The 25,400-nt window shown below is 43.8% G+C and overlaps 1 pseudogene, besides 2 other annotated features; it reads right to left on the reverse strand.

Annotated features, from left to right (window-relative positions):
* Window positions 8,452–8,551: an enhancer, noted in NCBI's record as "active region_30002". NCBI's record gives its function as "activates an Ori minimal core promoter by ATAC-STARR-seq in GM12878 lymphoblastoid cells {active_cell/tissue: GM12878}" and the evidence as "EXISTENCE:reporter gene assay evidence [ECO:0000049][PMID:35858748]".
* Window positions 8,632–8,781: an enhancer, noted in NCBI's record as "active region_30003". NCBI's record gives its function as "activates an Ori minimal core promoter by ATAC-STARR-seq in GM12878 lymphoblastoid cells {active_cell/tissue: GM12878}" and the evidence as "EXISTENCE:reporter gene assay evidence [ECO:0000049][PMID:35858748]".
* Window positions 20,655–21,037, reverse strand: RPL22P23 (ribosomal protein L22 pseudogene 23; annotated as a pseudogene).

Genomic DNA, 25,400 nt, shown 5'->3' on the forward strand with positions numbered 1-25,400 from the left:
TTGCCCAGGCTGGAGTGCAGTGGCACAATCTTGGCTCACTGCAACCTCCACCTCTGGATTCAAGTGATTCTCCTGCCTCAGCCTCTCAAGTAGCTGGGATTACAGGCATGCGCCACCATGCCCAGCTAATTTTGTATTTTTAGTAGAGATGGGGTTTCACCATGTTGGCCAGGCTGGTTTCAAACTCCTGACCTCAGATAATCCACCTGCCTTGGCCTCTCAAAGTGCTGGGATTACAGGTGTGAGTCATTGTGCCCAGCCTATATCCACACTTTTTAGGAACCTCTTTCTTTAGATGGTCTCATGCAGTTTCATTATGTGTTTAGTTATGGATTTGTTTTCTTTTTTGCTTTTAATCCTGTTTGTAATTCCTTGGGTTTCCTTTATTACTGTCTTCTATCAGTTCTGGAATTCTCAGCCATTGCCAGATATTTTCTTCTTTCCTTTTGAGACTCCATTTAAAGCTATGTTAAATGCTCCTTATTTTCTGCCCCATATATAACTTCTCTTCTATGTTTTCCTTTTTTTTCTTTGTGTTATGTTTTCCTGGCCTATCATCCAGTCTGTAAATTCTCTCTTCACCTGTTTCTTATTTTCTGCTTTTGTTTTTTTTTGAGACAGAGTCTTGCTCTGTCGCCTGGGCTGGAGTGCAGTGGTGCCATCCTGGCTCACTGCAACCTCCACCTCCTAGGTTCAAGCGATTCTCCTGCCTCAGCCTCCTGAGTAGCTGAGACTACAGGTGCCCACCACCACGGCCAGCTAATTTTTGTATTTTAGTAGAGACGGGGGTTTTACCATGTTGACCAGGCTGGTCTCGAACTCCTGACCTCAAGTGATCCACCCACCTCGGCCTCCCAAAGTGCTGGGATTACAGGTGTGAGCCACTGCAACTGGCCCTTGTTTTCTTTTTCATGCATATATTTTCACACTTGCTTTTTTATTTCTTTTAAATATATTAACTTTAGTTCATTTAAAATCTGCCTCTGATAATTGCTGTATCTGAAATCTTTGCAGGTTTTTTCTAGTTCTTGCTCATGATGTCATTTTTCCTTTTGTGCCTCATTATTTTGAGTACATACTCATTGTCCTTGAAAATCATTTGTGGGGTTTCTTTAAGTTGTAGGGTCAAAGTACATTGCTCCAGAGAGGACTTTCGTTGACTTCTCCAAAGTGTCTTTGGGGATTACCAGTCTGGGACCATCTTAAAACAAATTCACAACTTGAAATTCCTGGGCTACCTAGGTGATATGAATCCAGCCTGTAAATTTGTTACAGGCGGTCTCTGGCCAAAACTTTTCTTTTTTTTTTTTTTTTGAGACAGACTCTCTGTCACCCAGGCTGGAGTGCAGTGGGGTGATCTTCGCTCACTGCGACTTCTGCCTCCTAGGTTCCATTGATTCTCTTGCATCACCCTCCCAAGTAGCTGGGACTACAGGCACACGCCACCACGCCTGGCTAATTTTAGTGATGGGGTTTCACCATGTTGGCCGGGCTGGTCTCGAACTCCTGACCTCAAGTGATCTACCTGCCTCGACCTCCCAAAGTGCTAGGATTACAGGTATGAGCCACAGCACCTGGCCTGGCGAAAATTTTTCAAGGCCAGTTTTATTCCTCCACCTGTTCCCGGCCACCCCCTTGTTTGTTTAGTATCAGGGCAGTCTTCCTAAGTTTGTTGGAGGCATGGAGCAGGTTTACTTCTGGCTCACCTTTACCTTGAGGGTGTGGCCTTTTGGGGGAGGTGGGTGGTCTCAGCTTCACGTACAGAGGGTCTCATACTAGCCTTTTCATCTGGGAGGGCCCTGGGCCCTGAGTTCTTTCCTCCTCAACCCATGAGGCCACCAAAACTGAGGTCCACGTTTGTCCTGATCAGCAGTTATCCTCAGGGCAATAGCAGCATCAGTGCTCCCTACCAAGCTTACCTCACTGGTCTGCTTTCCTTTAGAAATTTGCATGGTAGTTCCTTATTTTCTTGTCAGCTGATGTTGCTTTTAGGGAGATATGTGCTGCATTTTATTTAGCACTTGTAGTTTTCAGCAGGAGATTTGGCCCAAATAAGATTGAAATTGGAAATCTAGTTAAATTTTAAAGCACACACCTACTATAGGAGGAAGGAAATTAACATTTATTTACTCTCTTATTCTGTACTAGGAGCTGTGTTGGGTCTTCTCATATCATACAGCCAAAAAAAACGTAAGGTCGAGAAAGATTAATTGACATACAAAAGATTGCATGTGGCAACTTTTCAATTCCAGCCCAATATTTTGTTTTTGTTTGATACAGGATCTCACTCTGTCACCCAGGCTATAGTGCAGTGGTGCAATCATGGCTCACTGCAGCCTCCACCTCCTGGGCTCAGGTGATCCTCCCACCTCAGCCTCCCGAACAGCTAGGACCACGGGCACGCACTACCATGCCCAGCTAAGTTTTCTATTTTTTTGTAGAGACAGGGTTTTGCCATGATACTCAGACTGGTGTCGAACTCCTGGGCCTTGGCCTCCCAAAGTGCTGAGCCACCACGCCTGGCCCAGTCCAATGTTTTTCTATCCGGATTTCGCTTTCTTTTCTTTTTGACGGAGTCTCGCTCTGTCGCCCAGGCTGGAGTGCAGTGGCCGGATCTCGGCTCACTGCAAGCTCCGCCTCCCGGGTTCATGCCATTCTCCTGCCTCAGCCTCCTGAGTAGCTGGGACTACAGGTGCCTGCCACCATGCCTGGCTGATTTTTTTGTATTTTTGGTAGAGACGGGGTTTCACCGTGTTAGCCAGGATGGTCTCGATCTCCTGACCTCATGATCCGCCTGCCTCAGCCTCCAAAAGTGCTGGGATTACAGGCGTGAGCCACTGTGCCCGGCCTCTTTTCTTTTTTCTTTTCTTTCTTTTCTTTCACTTACTTTTCTCAAGACAGGGTCTCACCCTGTCACCCAGGCTGGAGTGCAGTGGTGGGATCTCGGTTCACTGCAACCTCCTCCTGGGCTTAAATGATCCTCCCATCTCAGCCTCCTGAGTAGCTGGGACTACAGGCGTGTACCACCACGCCTGGTTCTGTTTGCTTTCTACTATAGCAAACTATGTCTTGTATTTTTTGAGTACCTACAGGGTCTCAGCTTTGAGGATACAGTTAAGAAGTGCCTGACGTGTATGGTAGATCAAAAATATTTGTTGGGCTGGGTGCAGTGGTTCACGCCTGTAATCCCAGCACTTTGGGAGGCCATGGTGGGTGGATCACCTGAGGTCAGGAGTTCGAGACCAGCCTGGCCAATGTGGTGAAACCCCATCTCTACTAAAAATACAAAAATTAGGCTGGGTGTGGTGGCCCACACCTGTAATCCCAGCACTTTGGGAGGCCGAGGCAGGCGGATTGCCTGAGGTCAGGAGTTTGAGACCAGCCTGGCCAGCATAGTGAAACCCTGTCTCTACTAAAACTACAAAAATTAGCTGGGCATGGTGGCAGGCACCTGTAATCCCAGCTACTTGGGAGGTTGAGCCAGGAGAATTGCTTGAACCTGGGAGGCAGAGGTTGCAGTGAGCCAAGATCACACCATTGCACTCCAGCCTGGGCGACAAGAGTGAAACTCCATCTAAAAAAAAAAACGTGTATATATGTATATATATATAGGGGTGTGTGTGTGTGTGTATATGTGTGTGTGTATATATGTATATAAATATAAATCTATAAATATAAATATATTAAAAAATATATAAATATATATATAAATATAGAATGAGTAAAAGTGAGTGAATGAATGACTTGTAGCATGAAGAGCTGCAGACAAAACTCCTCAGACACCAGATTAAAGAAGGAAGAGGTTTATTCGGCTGGGAGTGTCGGCAGATTTGCATCTTAAGAGCTGAGCTCCCTGAAAAAGAAATTCTTGGCCTTTTTAAAGGCTTACACAACTCTAAGGGGTCCACGTGAAAAGGTCATGATAAATTGGGCAAGCATGGGGAACGTGACTGGGGGCTACATGCATCAGCTAACAGAACAGAAAGTTTTGCAATGCTTTTTCATACAATGTCTGGAATTTACAGATAACACAAGTAGTTTAGGTCAGGGATTGTTATTATTATTACTTTTTTAACTTCTAGGGCCGCGGTGGTGGTGCCAAGGTTGTCTGGCTGTTTATCTTTTGTTTCTTTCCAACTTTTTGCTTTCTCTCTTTTCTCCTGTTTTGTGAACTAGGCAAGGTGGGGGGAGGAGGGCAGCAGGAATAGTAGTGGTCTCCTTCCTTATCCCCCTCTTTGAGAATTTCACTAATTAGTGGAGTTCTCACTTTTATTTTTACTTTGAGTCTCTTTGCGAGACAGAGTGATAGTGTTTTATGTAATACACTTGTGCTGAAGTTTTTTGACAAACCATGGTAGCTACAAAACCTTTTATCATTTGAAGGAGCAAGCGTAATACACAGGGGAGCAGCAAGCAAGTTTCTATTACTAGTAATACACTTACAATGAGGGTTTTAAATTCGCTTACAGCTAGAAACTATTTTCTAAATATAGACCTAGGATCAAACCTGTGTTAAACCTGTACAGGCAAATGTACCAACTTTGTCATGTCCTAAGCAGGTTAGTTCTTTTACTGGGTTTTAAAAGCTTTTTCGTAGCGAGTAACACAGTATTTCTTAATAATGGAAGTTTTTAAGAGCCAGATGCTTGAAATTGTGGCGTCTGTTTGGGGAAAGAGTTAGTTAAAGTAAAGTTATCTTGAGGCATTAACTCTTTTGCTTCTCAAGGCCATTGGTCTCTTATGTTAGCCTTTTTATAAACATAACATGAGGAAACGTCTAGGCTGCCGGCAATGTTTTCAGCCAGCTGAGCAAATAGGTGTTTTTTTTTTTTTTTTTTTTTTTTTTTTGCTAAAGGAGGATGCTCTGGTAAACTTCTGGTTTATATGTTGAAAGAATGACTTAAAGACTCGGAATTGTTGCTGGGTGGGATGGGCCTGGGTTTCCTGACTAAGTAGTATGTGTACAGTGGGGATACCTTATATAGGTGTTTCTTCTAGCATGGTTATGGGGGGTAACAACAACAAAACAATGTACAGCATATTCATATCCAGCAAAGACAAAAGAGGTCCTTACCTGGGAAAAAGGTTGAATACAGAGACAGAACAATAGGAAAACAGGTAGTATTACAGGAAAACTACTAGTCTTAAGATTTTTAACTACATCACTTGGCTTGGTAAGTCCTTAAGCTTTGGCTGTGAGTAGACTAGTCAGCTGCCAGTGTGACTAGAGCAGGGCTTGTTTCAAGCTTCAGCCATGCATAGACTGGTCAGCCTCTGGAGTGACCAGAGCAGGGCTATCGTCCTCAGCAGCAGCTTGGTCTCATCTCAGGATCAGCCGGGTTGGATGATCTGTGTCCTGCTGGCTGGTCTGCTTGTCCTGAGCTGCCAGTGTTAGCTGACTGGGATGGATCTGAGACACAACACCTGCAACTTCTAACAGCAGTAGGAGTAGACAAGATTACAGTATAGGGCCCATCCTATATGGGTCCTAGAAAAATTAGATTTTACTTTTTTACTTTAAACAGAGTCACTAGATTTAAAGCGGTGTCAGGCTTATAGGCATTTGTATGTATTTAATTATGAACACTTTGTATGGCTATTTCTAAAAACTGCATTTGCTTTCTTAAGGTTAATTCCTTTAGTTCCTGGAGGTCACCTCTAATTTGACCTGTAATTTGGGGGTGGCTGACCGAACAAAATCTTACAGAACAAATACCTAGTTTGTTTGGTGGGGGTGCACCTGACTCGGAGGAGGACCATAGGCAAAAACCTGATTTTATCTTAAATGTATTTCCTGGCAATATTTTTTCAGTAGCTGCTCAAGTGTCCAGTTCATGCATTCCACCTTATCTTGAACTTTGCGGCCAATAGGCTGTGTGTAACTTCCATTTTAACAGTCTTGTTAAATCTTGCACTAGTTCAGCTACAAATGCTGGCCTATTGTCTGACTTTAAAGTTAGAGGCAGTCTAAACCTGGGGATAATGTCTTTTAAACAGTACTTTAGTTACTTTTTGTACTTTTTCTGTCCTGGTGGGGAAAACTTTAACTTACCCTGAAAAGGTGCAAACAAGCACTAGCATGTACCGATAGCCTCCAGCATGGGTCAGTTCTGTAAAGTCTATAAGCAAGTTTTCACAAGGTATGGCTCTTTCTCCTGTTTAAGTTTCTTGGAGGGGTTCTTTTTCTTCCCCCCCTTTATAACTCTATCTAGTGGCTTAGCCATCAGTGAGAAATTGGAGTCCAAATACGGCAGAATCCTGCTGCTTTTAACTTCTAATGTGACCATGGGCTCCTGGGAGCCTAAAGAGAAGGTGCCTAGTCTGCCCTAGTCTTTACATTCTTCAGCTCCTGCCAGCCTGATCAGATCAGTATTTGGTTCCTCCAAGGTGCGGCAGCCCTTGGCCGATGGCCTCTTTGTCTTGCCGCCTTGGCCATTTCCTTTATTGCCTTCTGAACATTCACCCTTCTAGTGTCCTTTCTTTTTGCATCTCGTACATTAATCCCTCTCTAGCCTTGTCCGGCTCTTGAATCCTTGCCTAACGTGACTTCTTCCACGTCTATGTCCGCATCCACGTCCTCTCACATTGCTAATCTCTCTTTTTATAAGAGCTGTTGCTAACAGATTGGCTTTTTTAAGTCTTTAATTTATTTATTTTTTTCCTTCCTGAGTTCTCCTGCTCCTACGGCCAGCTGGCAGGGCCAGGCAACAGCACGGGCCCTGCCCCCGCGCACTGCTGTCTGTCTCTCTTGTTTACTTCTGATTCTCTTTTTCACACTTAGTCTTAGTCTTTCTTTTTCTTTTGGTCTTTTCCCGGCGCCAGTCCCTGGCTCCTTCTTTTTTTAGATAGAGCCAGGCTGGGGAGAGGGACTTAATCCTTGGCGTGCCTAGCTGCTTCGATTGTTGCTTTTGCTCTTTCCCTTTTTGTTCCTTGGTCCCAGTTAACATACACCTTGGTGGCCACTTTTATAGACTGGGTGGTATTCATGCCTGCAGCTTCTGCTTGATGTTATTCTGGGCTTGCTTTACAAATGAGGTATTCACTATATACTGATTTTTCAGCAGCCTCAGGGTTAAATGGGGTGTAAAGCCAGAATGCTTTATAGAGTCTCTTATAAAACTGACTTAGGCTCTTGTCAGCTCCTTGAAGCACTTCTGAAATCTTTTTTATATTAATTGCTTTTTTTCTACCAACTGTTTGCCTCTGCAGAAGTGCTTCTCAGTATCTCTGCAAACGCTGAAGCTGAGTTGCATTCTCTGGGTCTTTTTCCTATTTTTCCTAGAGTTTAACAGGCCCTTTTCTTTATTTAATTATCCATGCACTTGGAGGGTTAAACAGGCATACCGAGAGTCAGTGTAAATGTTTACAGTCTTACCTTCACTGAGTTCTAAGGCCTGAATTAAAGGAATGAGCTCAGCTTAGCGACAATGTCCAGGGTTATCACCATGTATCCTGCACATCTGTCTCCTTGTGGGTTGATGAAGCTGTTCCCATCCACGTATAGCTCCCAGCCTACTGATGCCCAAGGCTGGTCCTGGAGGTCAGGTCTGCTAGAGTAAACTTGAGTCCAACACCTCTACACAGTTATGCTCGACAGGGCTCTAGTTGCCAGGAGCAAGGTGGCGGGTTCAGGGTGTTTCCAGTTTAGTAGATCAATGGTTGAAAAGGGCTGATAGATGAAAGTCTGTTGTCCCCCCGGATGTGGGCCTGGTCATTATAAATAGACAGGTCCTCACCTCTCCCTGAGAGGCATTTGCATAGCTCGAGCAAGACCAGATCTGAGATGGCCCACTTGACTATCTTGACTTCCTTCCTTGGCCTCTCGAGGTTCCGATTCTCCCCTTCGAGGTGAGACCTGGGGTGTGTTAGCTCCTGAATCTGGTTTCTGAGGGGGCTGTTGGCCTCGGTAAAGGGGGGTAGGCTAGGACATATGGAGAAAGAATTTCTGTTTATCTCTGGCGGCTTCTGCAAAACTGGCTTCTCTTGCTGTTTCTGGGACTCCCTTTTTAACTCTGTGTCTGCTGGCGAAGCTGCTCTTACTTTTACTTTTGGCTTTTTTGCAATAAGCTGTTAAACAGGGCTAAATTTATGCCAGTTTTGTCTATATTATATTTAACCATGAGTCAATATAAAGGAATTGCTACAGGTACACTGGCTGTCCTCCGACCCCTGTCACCACCTTAAATACATGGCCAATTGTTCCCTGTCTGTAGTTCCTTTGGTGGGCCATCCAACACCAAAAGAGGGCAATTCTAATTCACCCAGAGTTCTTAACCTCTGGGGGGTTAACTTAACTCTATAATCCCCTGCAAAACCTTTCTTAAGGTTTTGTAACATGCATTTTAATAGAGTAAGTTTTGATGATTACTTTCCTTTTATTTTTCTTTTCTTGGAATTTTTTTTAACACAGTTTCTAGCAGAGTGGGCTTACTTTGTGTCTGACCTATTTTTCTCTCGAGACAAAACAACATTCACACTACAAGAAGGAAAGGGTAAAAGGTCACTCACTCGTCTATTTCACACTAAATCAAAATCAAAACTAAAACCAAAGTGTCGTTAAAGGCACCTCTGTTCGTCAAGCAATTTAAGCCAAGTCAAAATCAGAACCAAAACCAAAGTGCCAATAAAGGCATGCCTGTTTATCAAGCAATTCAAGTCAAGTCAAAATCAAAACTAAAACCAAATTATCAAGCAATGCAAGTCAAGTCAAAAACAAAACCCAAAGTGCCGGTACAGGCACGCCGTGGGTGATCATGCCATGCTTCCACTCAAATGGAGTGGGCAAGTTCCAAAGACCAGTCTTACCAAGTTTCAGATGTCCAGACTTAAAGTGCCAGTTCCTTCCCAGTGTTCAGCCACTGCATTGGTCCTTCATGTGGGCTTGCCATGCACCGCTCTGATGAGGCGTTGTACCGGGGCAAATGCCTGCCTGGGAGCGCTCATCAGGATCTACATTGCTCAAGCTGGCCGGAGTCCCCCACAGGGATGCTCTACAGGGCAGGCATAAGCTGCCTAAGGGGCTGTGTCGACCGTCCATTAATCACCTCGCTTCCCGGTCAGGGAACCAAGAAATGTAGCAGGACAAGCTGCAGACAAAACTCCTCAGACATCAGATTAAAGAAGGAAGAGGTTTATTCAGCCAGGAGCATCAGCAGACTTGTGTCTTAAGAGCCAAGCTCCCTGAAAAAGAAATTCTTGGCCTTTTTAAAGGCTTACAACTCTTAAGAGGTCCACATGAAAAGGTCATGATAAATTGAGCAAGTGTGGGGAACGTGACTGGGGGATACATGCATCAGCTAACAGAACAGAAAGTTTTGCAATACTTTTTCATACAATGTCTGGAATTTACAGATAACACAAGTAGTTTAGGTCAGGGGTTGATGTTGTTATTATTACTTTTTTAACTCCTAGGGCCGGGTAGTGGTGCCAAGGTTGTCTGGCTATTTATCTTACTTTTGTTTCTTTCCAACTTTTTGCTTTGTCTTTTCTCCTGTCTTGTGAACTAGGCAAGGTAGGGGGAGGAGGGCAGCAGGAGTAGTAGTGGTCTCCTTCCTTAGAATGACCCAGACAGAGTTCTTAATTTTGTGATGTACTGGGGAACACAATTTACTAGGGGATATAAATGTGTAAATACACCAACTACAATTTGATGTAAGTGACAATAGAGATATGAGCTGAGTGCTGTGAGAACACAGTACAGAATTCTCTTTAGTAATTTAGCAGGTTAGAAGTAGAGGCTGTCGCGTGTGATGAGTCTGGAGAGATAGGTGGGATCCAGATACTGAAGGACCTTTACCTATTACATTGAGTACTTAGTTTATGCCGAGCAGTGGTTGATATACTTTGCCTGAGTTGATTTAATCCTCACAGCATCCTGTGGGTACTGTTACCATCTTTACATTACAGGTACAGAAACTGATACACTAAGAGGTTACAACATGGCAAAGATCACACAAGCTAGTACAGAACATATCTGAGCTTTGAATATAGGTAGTTTTATTTTTTTCTTGTTTTTTTTTTTTTGAGACCTAGTCTCACTCTTGTCACCCAGGCTGGAGTGCAGTGGCATGATCTCACTCACTGCAACCTCTGCCTCCCGGGTTCAAGCAATTCTTCTGCCTCAGCCTCCCGAGTAGCTAGGATTACAGGCATGTGCCACCATGCTTGGCTTATTATTTTGTATTTTTAGTAGAGATAGGGTTTCACAATATTGGCCAGGCTTGTCTCAAACTCCTGACCTTGTGATCCGCCCGCCTCAGCCTCCTAACATGCTGGGATTATGGGCGTGAGCCACCACACCTGGCTTTTTTTTTAAAAATTGAGACGGAGTCTTGCTCTGTCACCCAGGTTGGAGTGCAGTGGCGCGATCTCGGCTCACTGCAACCTCTGCTTCCTAGGTTTAAGCAATTCTCCTGTCTCAGCCTTCTGAGTAGCTGGGATTACAGGTGCATGCCACCACGCCCGACTACTTTTTATATTTTTATTGGAGAGAAGGTTTTGCCATGTTGGCCAGGCTGGTCTCAAACTCCTGACCTCGTGTGATCTGCCCCCCTCGGCCTCCCAAAGTGCTGGGATTACAGCTGTGAGCCACTGCCCAGCCGAATATATGTAGGTTGACTATGGATCTACATCCCTAACCACTATGCTGTGCTTTTTCTCTCTAGTAGTATGGATATACTTTCTTACTAGCGTATGCAAATCTACTAGCTGTATTTTATTTCTCTGTGTGGTTTTACTATAATTTATTTAACTGGATTGATAGAGATTGTTGGTTGTTTCTAGTTTTTAGCAGTTACACATAGTGCTTTAGTGAGGAGTATTTACTTCCCACCTCAAGCTGATTGGGGCACACTCTCACATGATCACTCTTCCCTTCTTCATCATTACTGTATTAAATGATCTCCAAAATTCCTTCAGGGCCATCACCCTAAATTCTGAGATTTGCAGAGCCATAATTCTTAATCTCAAGAGCTGTATATATTGTAGATTACTTAATGTGGTAATTGTCAAGGCTCGTTTGTACTTTTTTTTTTTTTTTGAGATGGAGTCGTCTTTTGTTGCCCAGGCTGGAGGGCAGTGGCACGATCTCGGCTCACTGAAACCTCCGCCTCCTGGGTTCAAGAAATTCTCCAGCTTCAGCCTCCCGAGTAGCTGGGACTACAGGCACGTGCCACTGCGCCCAGCTCATTTTTATATTTTTAGTAGAGAAGGGGTTTCACCATGTTGGCCAGACTGGTCTTGAACGCCTGACCTCAAGTGATCTGCCCACCTCGGTCTCCCAAAGTGCTGGGATTACAGGCATGAGCCACTGCACCCAGCGAATTTTCGTATTATTATTATTATTTTTATTTTTTAGTAGAGACAGTGTTTTGCTGGTCTCGAACTCCTCGGTCTCCCAAAGTGCTGGGATTACAGGCATGAGCCACCGCACTCAGCTGTACTCATTTTCTAAGGATTGAAGGCCTGGGTGACATATTAGTTAACATGTATTGAAGGTTTCCTATACCAAGCATTCTACTAAGTACTTTACATGCATTATTCTAATTGTCTCAGCAATCCTGTGAGCAATTATATATATTGTCCCTCTTCTTAAAATGAAGAAACTGCTGGGCGCGGTGGCTCACGCCTGTAATCCTGGCACTTTGGGAGGCCGAGACGGGCAGATCACGAGGTGAGGAGATCAAGACCATCCTGGCTAACGCGGTGAAACCCCGTCTCTACTAAAAATACAAAAAATTAGCTGGGCGTGGTGGCAGGTGCCTGTAGTCCCAGCTACTCGGGAGGCTGAGGCAGGAGAATGGTGTGAACCCAGGAGGCGGAGCTTGCAGTGAGCTGAGATCACGCCACTGCACTCCAGCCTGGGAGACAGCGAGACTCTGTCTCAAAAAAATAAAAATAAATAAAAAAATAAAAATAAAAATAAATAAATGAAGAAACTGAGACTTGATGTGTCTATGGTCATATAGCTAGTAAATAGCTCACTGATTGCAAAGCATATATATATATATATATATATACACACACACACACACACACACACACACACACACACAGAGAGAGAGAGAGAGAGAGAGAGAGAGAGAGAGAGAGAGAGAGAGAGAGAGAGTGAGACAGTCTCACTGTGTCACCCAGGCTGGAGTGCAGTGTGGCATGATCACAGCTCACCGCAGCCTCTATCTCCTGGCTCTAAGCAATCCTCCTACCTCATCCCCCCAAGTAGCTGGGGCTACAGGTGTGCATCACCACACCTGGCTAATTTTTAATTTTTTTGTGGAGATGGGGTCTCGCTGTGTTGCCCAGGCTGGTCTTGGACTCCTGGGCTCAAGCAGTTCTCCCTCCTCAGCTTCCCAAAGTGTTGGAATTACAGACATAAGCCACTGCGTCCAGCCAATGCTTGTATTTTTAACCCTGGTATTAATTATTTTGCTAGGGCTGCCAGAACAAAATACCACAAACTGGGTGGCTTAAACAATGGGAATTTAAGGCCGGGCACGGTGGCTCACACCTGTAATTTCAGCACTATGGGAGGCCGAGGCGGGCGGATCACGAGGTCAGGAGTTCAAGACCAGCCTGGCCAATATGGTGAAACCCCGTCTCTACTGAAAATACAAAAAATAGCTGGGTGTGGTGGCACGCGCCCGTAGTTCTAGCTACTTGGGAGCCTGAGGCAGAAGAATCGCTTGAACCCGGGAGGCAGAGGTTGCAGTGAGCCGAGATCACGCCGCTGCACTCCAGTCTGGGCGACAGAGCGAGACTCCGTCTCAAAAGACAAACAAAAAACAAAACAACAAAAAACAATGGGAATTTGTCACTTTGCAGTTCTGGAGGCTAGAAGTCTGAAACCAAGGTGTTGGCAGGGTTGATTCCTTCTGAGAGCTCTGAGGGAGACTGTTCAATGCCTCCTTCTAGCTTCTGGTGATGGCCAGCAATCCTTGGTGTTCCTCAGCTTGCAGCTGCATCATTCCAAACTCTGCCTCTGTTGTCATGTAGGCACTGTATGTCTCTTATTTTCTTTTCTTTTTTTTTTTTTAGATAGAGTTTCATTCTTTTGCCCAGGCTGGAGTGAAGTGGTGTGATCTCGGCTCACTGCAACCTCCGTACCCCAGGTTCAAGTGATTCTCCTGCCTCAGCCTCCTGAGTAGCTGGGATTATAGGTGCCCGATACCACACCTGGCTAATTATTGTATTTTTAGTAGAGACGAGGTTTTACCATGTTGGCCAGGCTGGTGTCGAACTCCTTACCTCAAGTGATCCACCCGCCTTGGCCTTTCAAAGTGCTAGGATTAAAGATGTAAGCCACCACACCCGGCCTTATGTCTCTATTTTCACATGGTCTTTTTCTCTTCTTAGAAAGGCAACAACGATATTGGATTAGGACCAACCCTAACAGCTTCATCTTAACACGATTGTATCTACAAATACCCTATTTCCAAATAAGGTCACATTCATAGGTACTGGAAATTAAACCTTCAACATCTCTTTAGGGGACACAATACAATCCGTAACAACTCTTACTGCAAAACTGTCCTCAAATCCCCATGGAAAAATAGTTGTTGACTCTTCTTTAACCACTCCCACCGAAAAAGAACAGCCGAAGAGTTCTTTTGAACTGGAGCAAAGTTTTTTTTTTTTTTAGACGGAGTTTTGCTCTTGTTGCCCAGGCTGGAGTGTAACAGTGTGATCTTGGCTCACCGCAACCTCTGCCTCCCAGGTTCAAGCGATTCTGTCTCAGCCTCCCAAGTAGCTAGGATTACAAGCATGTGCCAACACGCCCGGCTAATTTTTGTATTTTTGGTAGAGACAGGGTTTCGTCATATTGGTCAGGCTGGTCTCGAACTCCTGACCTCAGGTGATCCACCCGCCTCGGCCTTCCAAAGTTATTGGATTACAGGTGTAAGCCACCGCGCCTGGCCTGGAGGAATAGTTCTTGAAGTGTGTTCTGAGATCAGCAGCATTGATATCACCTGACATACAGAATCTCAGGCCTCATTTAGGATCTAATGAATCAATCTGCATTGTAGCAAGACCCCTGAGTGATTTGTATGAACTTTGATTTTTTTTGTTTTTCAACGTATTACTATCTTTATTATGGTATAGAGTAGTATTTTATACATAGCTCATTTTATAGCAAAAACATTTATGTACAACTGTAGAGAAACCACTACACAGATAGCTCCAATTTAAATTAGAAAACATTTTGCCGGGCGTGGTGGCTCACACCTGTAATCCCAGCACTTTGGGAGTCCGAGGCGGGCGGATCACCTGAGGTCAGGAGTTTGAGACCAGCCTGGCCAACATGATGAAACCCCGTCTCTACTAAAAATAAAAAAATCAGCTGGGCATGGTGGCCGTGCGCCTGTAGTCCTAGCTACTCGGGAGGCTGAGGCAGGATTCATGCCAATCGCTTGAACGTGGGAGGCAGAGGTTGCAGTGAGCTGAGATTAAGCCACTGCACTCCAGCTTGTGCAACAGAGTGAGACTCTGTCTCAAAAAAAAAAAATTAAAAAAAAATTGCAGCTTATTTATCTCTACAAGGTGTTGCCAACGAGAAATAAAAGAGGAATTAAAAGGTTTAGGGCATATTTATAAATAACAGGAGTAAACATAGCTTCTAAGAGATGCCAGGAAATGCCTTACCAATGTCAAGGACAATCACTCATGCTTTTTTATGTCACTTCTGATATTTGGAAACAGAATTAAGGTGATGGACTGTGAGGTCTGACTCAGGCTGCTTGCTCATATTTGAATGGATTTGGTTAAAAAGGTAGTAAACAAAGTGTGATCATACAGGAAGCTAATCTCACCAGCTATGTGAAAATCAAGCTTAATGCTTTGTAGTCACATCTCATATTCTCATACTCAGAGGAAAAAAGCCAAGAAAATAATCTTCTACAGTTGTATTTATTCTACACTGCCTACAGAAATAGTTTATGTGTACATACAATCAAACTTTTATCTAATCGCTGTAAAGGTCATTTATATAGGCCCCCCGAGGGCAAGGACTGTGTTATAATTTATCTTTTTCAGAATTAAACAAGCTGCCCAAGGCCATGGAAGTGAGTTAGACCTAGCTGTTTGCTAGGTCTACAGTCTTGTGTTTTATTTTAGGCACTGTGGCTGGCTAATAATTTCCCTGACTTTTACCATAGTTAATCATCTCTTTTTCTTTTCTTTCTTTTTTTTTAAGAGACAGGGTCTCACTCTGTCACCTAGGATGGAGTGCAGTGGTGCCATCATAGGTCACTGTAGCCTTGAACTCCTGGGCTCAAGTGATCCTCCCACCTCAGCCTCCTGAGTAGCAGGGACTACAGGCATGCACCACCATGTCTGGCTGTATTTTTATTTTTATTTGTAGAGATGGGGTCTCGCTATGTTGCCCTGGCTGGTCTTGAACTCCTGGCCTCAACTGATCTTTCCACCTCGGCCTCCCAAAGTGCGGGGATTACAAGTGTGAGCCGCTACACCCGACGTCTTATTCTTAAAATACTTGCTTCATTTGAGTTTTAGGTTACCAAGCTTTCCTGGTTTCCTGTCTCACTGGTCACTTCTTACTGGTCACTTCTTAATCTCCTCCTCATTTTTGTAAACTCCTAATGTGGGAGAGCCCTCAGACTCAACTCAGTCTTTGAACTTTTTATCTTCTTTAGTTATACTCATACTTTGGTAGTCTTACCTGTCTCATGGTGTTACCATGATGACTGTTAGATCTCTAGACTTGTATATTTATCTGTCTATTTGACATGTCTGCTTGTTTTTTTTTGTTTGTTTGTTTGTCTTTTTTTTTTTTTAGACAGAGTCTTGCTCTGTTGACCAGGCTGGAGTGCAGTGGCGTGATCTCTGCTCATTGCAGCTTCTGCCTCCTGGGCTCAAGTAATTCTCCTGCCTCAGGCCCAAGCGATTCTCCTACCTCAACCTCCTGAGTAGCTAGGATTACAGGTGCGCACCACCATACCTGGCTAATTTTTGTATTCTTAGTAGAGACGGGGTTTCAGCATGTTGGCCAGGCTGGTTCTGAACTCCTGACCTCAAATGATCTGCCCGCCTTGGCCTCTCAAAGTGTTGGGACTACAGGCATGAGCCACAGCGCTTGGCTAGGACATGACCACTTGGATGTGCTTCCCCTGTTGTTTTTCCCATCTCAGTAAGTGGCAACTCCATCTTTGCAGTTGCTCAGGCCACAAATCATGGCATCACCCTTAATTCCTCTTTTTCACTCTTCACTCATACCCCCTATTCAGTCCAATCCTTTGACAGACCATGTGGCTCTCTCCCTTTGAAATATTTCAGAATCCACCACTTCTCAACTCCTCTACCACTATCATCTGGTCCAAGATATCATTTTACCTCACTTGGACTATTGCAAAAACCTAGCCAGTCTCCCTGCTGCTACCCTTATTTTCTAGGGGTCTGTTCTCAATACAGTATTCAGAGCATTTCTTTGGAAATGTCAGCTCTTTTCAATCCTCTGCTTAGAATCTTCCATTGACTTCTCATCTTACTTAGAGTAAAAGCCAAAGTTCTGAAACTGGCCTATAAAGCCTTGTGCAGCCCATATATAAGGCCAGAGGTTTATAATAAAATAGTGCTTCTACTTCGGTGAGAGCTCTTAACATGATCTTTGCTGCATAGTCTTTCTCATATCAAATGAAGATTTTTCTGTACTGGGTTCGTACTTACACAGTAAACCTTAATGTGGATTATCACGCAGTAATTTAATTGTTCTCTTTAGTGTTACATTTTGATCTGTAGCCTTAAGAATCATTTTTTTTCATGGTTATAAAGCTAAAGAGAATTAAAAACAAACAATAAAAAACAAAAAAATCATAACTTTAAAAATTTATAGTTGTTTTAAAATGTGTTCTGGGCCGGGCACTGTGGCTCATGCCCATAATCCCAGGACTTTGGGAGGCTGAGGTGGGCGGATCACCTGAGGTCAGGAGTTCCAGACCAGCCTGGCCAACATGGTGAAGCCCTATCTCTACTAAAAATACAAAAATTAGTCAGGCGTGGTGGTGGATGCCTGTAATCCCAGCTACTCGGGAGGCTGAGGCATGGGAATCGCTTGAACCTGGGAGGTGGAAGTTGCAGTGAGCCGAGATCACGCCACTGCACTCCAGCCTGGGTGAAAGAGTGAGACTCCATCTCAAAATAAGAGACTCTGTCTTAAAATAAAATAAAACAATAAAATAAAAAGTTTTTCAGCTTTAAATAGAATTTATTCATTCTAGAAACACTTAAAAGGGCATATTATGTACCAGGCACTAGGGTTACAAAAATGAATAGAAAGAGATGCACATCAGTAATTTTTCCCAACTGTGAGTGAATGGTTTTATTATGCATACACATGTATAGACAATTCCATAAAGATTACCTATTATTCATTACACAGAAGCCAAGGGATAAATTGTATGCTGAGTAAGTAAATCAAAAGGGAAGCATCACTGTTTCTCCTTTTTATTTTTCTCCTATTTTTCCTTTATTCCTCTTTACATTTTGAGTAGTAAGTCTCCACATCCCTGACCAGGCATTTGCTAGCTGCATCACTCCTCTCTGATTTCAAACTTCTCTAGTTTGTTTCCATCTTCTATTTTTAAAGTTTTTTTCAGACAAAAAGGTCATGTAGATTATATTTTTGGTATCTTTCATTTCTAAGCATGCTGCTTTATACACAGTAGGCCCTCAAATCTTTGAGTGCTTATAAATATGATTTTTGCTTCATCTAATTCTCTAGACATGCAGTTAAGATTACAGGATGGGTTACTTAGTATATTGAAAAAGAATGATATGAAATATGAAAAACAAAGCCATTTAAAAGATATTCATGACACTCTAGTGCTTTACTTGCCCCTGGACCAGATGTTTGTGTTCATGGGTCAGTGACTCTTAGCTCCGGACTGTATTAGTGGTGCTTCACCAAAGGACTGATTTCAGGCTATTCTTTTAATAGGGAAAACCCTTTATGACTATGTAGATCTATGTATTTCCATTTTTAGTCTTTTTTAGACTGTGTATCATATATATATATTTGTATACGTGTGTGTGTGTGTGTGTGTGTGTGTGTGTATATATATATATATATTTATTTTTTTTTTGAGATGGAGTCTCACTCTGTTGCCCAGGCTGGAGTGCAATGGCATGATCTCAGCTCAGTGCAACTCTGCCTTCCGGGTTCAAATGATTATCCTGCCTCAGCTTCCCAAGTAGCTGGGATTACAGGCACCTGCCCCCATGCCTGGCTAATTTTTGTATTTTTTTTTTTAGTAGAGATGGGGTTTCACCATGCTGGCCAGGCTGGTCTCAAACTCCTGACTTTAGAGGATCCGCCCGTCTCGGCCTCCCAAAGTGCTGGGATTACAGGCGTGAGCCGCTGTGCCCAGCTGGATATCATATTTTTGATCCAGGTTTTGTTACACTCAGTTTCATCTAAGGCTTATTTTTTATAGCTTCAGATATTCTTTCCTGAGACCAAACCCTAATTACTGTATTTGGGGCTAGGTCTCAAATCTCGAAAATTTACAAATTGTGCTTGGTTTGTGTCATTTCTGTAGATGGCCTGACAGCCATTATAAAATGATTCTTCCTAATCTCATTCTGAAAGCAATTCCACATTAGGAATACCTCGCTTTTGTCCCTATGTATCACCTTTAGTGGTTATCTCCATTTTATAAATGAGGCTACTGAAGCCCAGCAAGCTCAAGTAATTTTCTCAGGTTCACAGCTAGCAGGTGGTGCAAGTGATATTCAAAACCATGTCTGTCTGGCCCCCAAACTCAGTTTTTCTACTATACCATTCTGGCTTTCTTTCTTAAGGGTCTATTATATTTTCTGCCTCAGAGTCACTGTAAAGAAAATGAGAACCATTTATGTTAGAAATGTGTGTGTGTGCCTTGAATCATCTAGCTAGAGGTCAGGATTACTTGATCCTACATCCTGTAGTTTACCCAAAGTACGATTGGTGAAAACAGGCAATTTACTAGTCCAATAAGTATAGTCCAGTCTTCTAATCTTTGGATGAAATACAGAAGTGTAATCTGAGGAAAGGAATGAAATGCACTCTGAAGGGGCCGGGCATTGTGGCTCGTACCTGTAATCCCAGCACTTTGGGAGGCAGAGACGGGCGGATCACCTGAGGTCAGGCGTTCGAGACCAGCCTGACCAACATGGTGAAACCCCATCTCTACTTAACATACAATAATTAGCCAGGCATGGTGGCAAGTGCCTGTAGTCCCAGCTACTTGGGAGGTTGAGGCAGGAGAATCGCTTCAACCTGGGAGACAGAGGTTGCAGTGAGCCGAAATCACGCCATTGTACTCCAGCCTGGGTGACAGAGTGATACTGTCTCAAAAAAAAAAAAAACAAAAAAAGTGAAATGTACTCTGAAGACATTTAATAAACCTTTCTTCAGCTACTGAGAATAGAATACTATTCAAAGTCTAAGCTATTATCATAAGTTGATTGAAAGCTGAGGTCCTTATACATTTTTGTCAGTTATCAATCAGTTATTAAACATTTAAATGTAAGGACTTTTATTCTTATAGTAAAAACCACAGGAAAACACATCTAAATTGAAGTTCGGATTCATATCAGGAACCTACATAATATGGTGCTAGTGGTCTGTCAGGAAGCAACTGTAGCCATCAAAAAAAGCCATACCAGGCCGGGCGTGGTGGCTGACGCTTGTAATCCTAGCACTTTGGGAGGCTGAGGCAGGCAGATCACCTGAGGTCAGGAGTTCAAGACCAGCCAGGCCAACATGGCGAAACCCCGTCTCTACTAAAAATACAAAAATTAGTCGGGCATAGTGGTGCATGCCTGTAATCCCAGCTACTTGGGAGGCTGAGGCAGGAGAATCGCTTGAATCCGGGAGGTGGAGGTTGTAGTGAGCCAAGATCGTACCACTGCACTCCAGCCTGGGCAACAGAGCGAGACTCCGTCTCTAAAAATAAAAATAAAGCCATACCAAATGGGAAAATTTTGGAAAATCCCCTTATTTCAGGTTAGGTCTCAACCCCTTGTTCCTCAACAGTCAAGTCTAATTCTGGAAGCAATTCCAGAAGAGGGAATTTTCTTTTCCCATTGAAACTTATTTAGTGTACCTAGAAGGCCCTTGGCTTCCAGAGGTGTTACACTGGAAAGAACCAGACACAGTTGAATTAGAATCTTGGCTCTGCCATTTACTGCTGTATGAACTTGGTTAGGTTACTTTGCGCCTGTTATTTCCGAATTTGTAAAATGGAGATAAAATATTAACCCCATTTGATTGCTGTCAGGGTGAAGTGAGCTAACATGAAATATTTAGCACAGTGCCTAGCAAGTAGTACACATTTAATGTTTCCTATTCCTCCTTCTCTCCAATATAGGTTCTCCAAGACCTAGGGAGCAGTTGATTTATAAATGTCTCATACAACATTAGCTCATGCATGCAGAGAGATGATTATGCAGTGAGAACATACTAAGCTACGATATTCTCTATCTGAGTGCCAAAACGTGGCTGTTCTAGTTAGGGGGAGGGTGCAAGGAAGAGTAATGACATATATCTCTAATAGTGCTCTTTCTTTATTTTCTTGTCTTGGGTTGAAAAATGCTTTATTTTTGTTTTTGATTCCCAAGTTTTATTCAAGAAGTCATAAAATATTCCAGATAAGTGAATTTTAATCCTCATCTTCCTCCTCTTCTGCATCCTGGTTAATTTGGGAGTAATGTAATTCCTGACTCTCTGCTGTTAGCAACTATGTGCAACTAATCAAGTAGGTGATTTCTTCTTCAGATATTTTTTGGTGAGATATTTAAAATATCTTTTGGTAAAAAGCACCTCAGAAGTCACAGTAATCTTGCTCTTGCTTATTTTGATGGTCATACCCCCTCCACCGAGACTCTCAGCTTTTCTGCTCACTTTGATCCTTTCCTGTAAAAATTGCACAAAATTGGCAGTATCATGATTCCATCTTCTACAGAGTGGGTGCAATCAAGAGTGAACTTGAGAACCTGCTTTTTTTTTTTTTTTTAAACCCTCCTTTGCCATAAGCTTCTTTATGGGCACTGTGGCGGCAGCAGAGGCAGAAAGGGAGGTGGGTGAACTATGCAGGCCGGAAAAATGCTTTTTTTTTTTTAATAAAAAAAAACAATTATAATGGTGCATATCAACATTTCCCAAAGTGCATTGTGTGGAACACTAGTCTAGTCAAATAAGTTTGAAAAATGTTACTTTCTACTGCCTCCTTTCTCAGCTTTACAAAACACATTAGTAAAGTGTTTAAAAGTCTCCTAATCTCATTCATAGTAAAGAAATGTCTTGACTGAGCCTAAGTTAGCATTTTACAAACGTGTTCGACTCTGGAGTTCCTTTCCTTCCTTTCCTTCCTTTCCTTCTCTTCCTTTTTTTTTTTTTGACAGAGTATCGCTCTCTTGCCCACGGCTGGAGCACAGTGGTGGGATCTCGCCTGGTTGCAACCTCTGCCTCCTGGGTTCCAGCGATTCTCCTGCCTCAGCCTCCCGAGTAGCTGGCTAGGATTACAGGCGTGATCCAACATGCCTGGCTAATTTTTGTATTTTTAGTAGAGATGGGGTTTCATTGTGTTGACCAGGCTGGTCTCAAGCTCCTGACCTCTGGTGATCCACCCACCTCAGCCTCCCAAGTAGTTGGGATCACCTGGCTTCCCCCCCCTCCCCCCCGTATTTTTAGTAGAGATGGGGTTTTGCCATTTTGGCTAGGCTGGTCTCAAACTCCTGGTCTAAAGTGACCCACCTACCCCAGTTTCCCAGAGTGTTGGGATTACAGGTGTGAGCCACTGTGCCCTGCCTGGAGTACTCTCTTAGGTTAGGGTAGCATTTAGATCCCACTGTGGATGCCATTTTGGCTACCCCAGGTACCCATGGTGGTTGTGTCTTAGAGTAGCTCACAAAATCCTACAGAACCTGCAACATACCTCAAACTTTCAGTGTACAAATGAGAAGCAAAGCTTCGTATCTTGGTAACTGTAAGTATAAAAGAACTGGCCGGGCGCGGTGGCTCACGCCTGTAATCCCAGCACTTTGGGAGGCCGAGGCGGGTGGATCATGAGGTCAGGAGATCGAGACCATCCTGGCTAACAAGGTGAAACCCCGTCTCTACTAAAAATACAAAAAATTAGCCGGGCGCGGTGGCGGGCGCCTGTAGTCCCAGCTACTCGGGAGGCTGAGGCAGGAGAATGGCGTGAACCCGGGAAGCGGAGCTTGCAGTGAGCCGAGATTGCGCCACTGCAGTCCGCAGTCCGGCCTGGGCGACAGAGCGAGACTCCGTCTCAAAAAAAAAAAAAAAAAAAAAAGAACTTAACCTGCATTACGGGCTATGAAGGATTTTGTCAACTAACTGAGTAGCTAGTCATCACTTATTGAATTGTTTCAGTGGGAATGATAGAATTTGAAAATCACTAGTTCTTCAACCTCCAATTAAATATTGATTCAGGTCAATATGATCAATGAATGTTAAAATTGTAGGTGAATGAGTGTTGGGGAAACTGGTTATTCTTACAGTGGCAAGGTATCACTCTATAGACTGTACACCCTACAGCCTGTAGTATCACCCTACAGACTACTTGCTAACTGCTAATGGAAAAATATAAAAGCGAATAAGTAAATAAACATGAGTTCATATGATATCTCAGACCCTCATCCAGCACCACAGCATTTCTTCTAGCCTTTTCCCCCTGGTTTAGCTGTAATTTCTTTTTTTTTTTTTTTTTTTTTTTTTTTTTGAGACGGAGTCTCGCTCTGTCGCCCAGGCTGGAGTGCAGTGGCGGGATCTCGGCTCACTGCAAGCTCTGCCTCCCGGGTTCACGCCATTCTCCTGCCTCAGCCTCCCAAGTAGCTGGGACTACAGGCGCCCGCCACTACGCCCGGCTAATTTTTTGTATTTTTAGTAGAGACGGGGTTTCACCGTTTTAGCTGGGATGGTCTCGATCTCCTGACCTCGTGATCCGCCCGCCTCGGCCTCCCAAAGTGCTGGGATTACAGGCGTGAGCCACCGCGCCCGGCCTTAGCTGTAATTTCTTTACCTGAAAGTGAGAAACCTGGCTCTCATCATCTATGATGCACTGACTTACTTATTCAACCCTAGCATATATGCAGTTACAGAACTGCTAACACATATCCTTGTGAGAAACATATTCATTCACTGGAGTACAGTGTTTATACAGCACTTTTGGAGCACAGAAATATCTTATCTGGTGTGTATTTTACACTTACAGCTCATCCCCTTAGGACCAGACACGTTTCAAGTGCTGAAGAGCCACATAGGACCAGTGGCTGCCATATTGGCACGGATCTAAACCACCTCATGTGTAGCATCTGTTCCCTTTCCTCTGTGCTTCTGCATGTTTTTTTCCCCCCTTTCGCTGCTTCTCATTTCCAATACAGAAAATTTCACCAGACTGTGTTTTATTCTAGGCCCTTGACTGGGAGAAATACACTTAGATGTGCTTCTGGTGCACAAAGACGTGTTTTTATTTTATTTTTTTTGAGACAGAGTCTCACTCTGTCGCCTAGACTGGAGTGCAGTGGTGTGATCTTGGCTCACTGCAGCCTCCGCATCGCGGGTTCAAGTGATTCTGGTGCCTCAGCCTCCCAAGTAGCTGGGATTATAGGCATGTACCACCATGCCCGGCTATGGCACACAGACATTCATGTGGCCAGTGGAGAGGGGAGATGCAATCCTGACACAGGGTTGGGGTTGGGGAACATGGACAGGAAGTTAAACTCTGTGCACATGATGAAGCACTTACAGATGTCAGAGCCATGCAACAGTTGTGGCTCCTCAGTCACCTGGATCATGATCTCCATTCTCCTGTACTTGTCTTACCACCTTGCTGCAGCCACCTGCAAACTGCTGTTTGAACCCAGAGCCTATAATCATCAGCTGAGCTTGTGGGTCTGAGCCCCTGATCAAGCCTAGACACAGAGAAGTTCAAAGGCAATATAATAATTTTTAGTTTGAAAAGGTTTTTTTTTTTTTTTTTTTTTTTTCTTTTCTGAGACGGTGTCTTGCTCTGTCACCCAGACTGGAGTGCAGTGGCACGATCTCAGCTCGCTGCAACCTCCGCCTCCCGGGTTCAAGTGATTCTTGTGCCCTAGCCACCCGAGTACTTGGGACTACAGGCACGGGCCACCATGCCTGGCTAATTTTTGTATTTTTAGTAGAGACGGAGTTTCACCATGTTGGCCATGATGGTCTCGAACTCCTGACCTCAAGTGATCCACCTGCCTTGGCCTCCCAAAGTGCTGAGATTATAGGTGTGAACCACTGCACCTGGCATGTTTTTTTTTTTTCTTTGAGATGGAGTCTCCCTGTGTTGCCCAGGCTGGAGTGCAGTGGTTTGATCTTGGCTCACTGCAACCTCCGCCTCCCGGGTTCAAGCAATTCTCCTGCCTCAGCCTCCCGAGTAGCTGGGATTATAGGTGCTGTCTGCCACACCCAGCTAATTTTCGTATTTTTAGTAGAGACGGGGTTTCACTATCCCAGGCTGGTCTCGAACTCCTGACCTCAAGTGATCCACCCATCTTGGCCTCCCAAAGTGTTGGGATTACAGGTGTGAGCGACCACGCCCGGCCCTATTTTTTTAATTAACTGTCATGAAAATGCACTTTAATGTTTTCAGAAAATAATACAGGTTCCCAAACCAGTGTAAAATTTGGCATTTATAATACATTTGTTCAGGAGGGATGAGTCATAAAGATTAACATTTGAGTGAAGACCTTTTGTTTATCAATTTATATGTTTCTTGAGTGCCTATTATGAACCGAGTGCCTATTATGAATTTATGAATGCCTGTTATGAATTATGGACATTGAATGCCTATTATGAATTATTGAATGCCATGATAAAGTGTTTCTATTCATAATACTTTGCTTTAAAAATGTACTGTCTTTTTTTTTTTTTTTTGGAGACAGAGTTTTGCTCTTGTTGCCGAGGCTGGAGTGCAATGGCACAATCTTGGCTCACTGCATCCTCTGCCTCATGGGTTCAAGCGATTCTCCTGCCTCAGCCTCCCGAATAGCTGGGATTACAGGCATGCGCCACCATGCCTGGCTAATTTTGTATTTTTAGTACAGGCGGGGTTTCACCATGTTGGCCAGGCTGGTTTTGAACTCCTGACCTCAGGTGATCCACCTGCCTGGGCCTCCCAGAGTGCTGGGATTACAGGCATGAGCCACTGCGCCTGGCCAAAAATGTACTGTTTTTATATCACCAAACAAAGGCTTTTTGGTTTTGTTGTAATCACATTAATGTTAGCTATATATTTGAGTTACATAAGCTCCATTTGTTGGCTAGCCTGGGACCCTAGCTAAATTTAAAGCATTGTGTCCAGATACGGTCACCTGAGGTCAGGAGTTCAAGACCAGCCTGTACAACATGGCAAAACCCC

This window comes from Homo sapiens, chromosome X, assembly GCF_000001405.40.
Source record: "Homo sapiens chromosome X, GRCh38.p14 Primary Assembly".
NCBI lineage: Eukaryota > Metazoa > Chordata > Mammalia > Primates > Hominidae > Homo > Homo sapiens.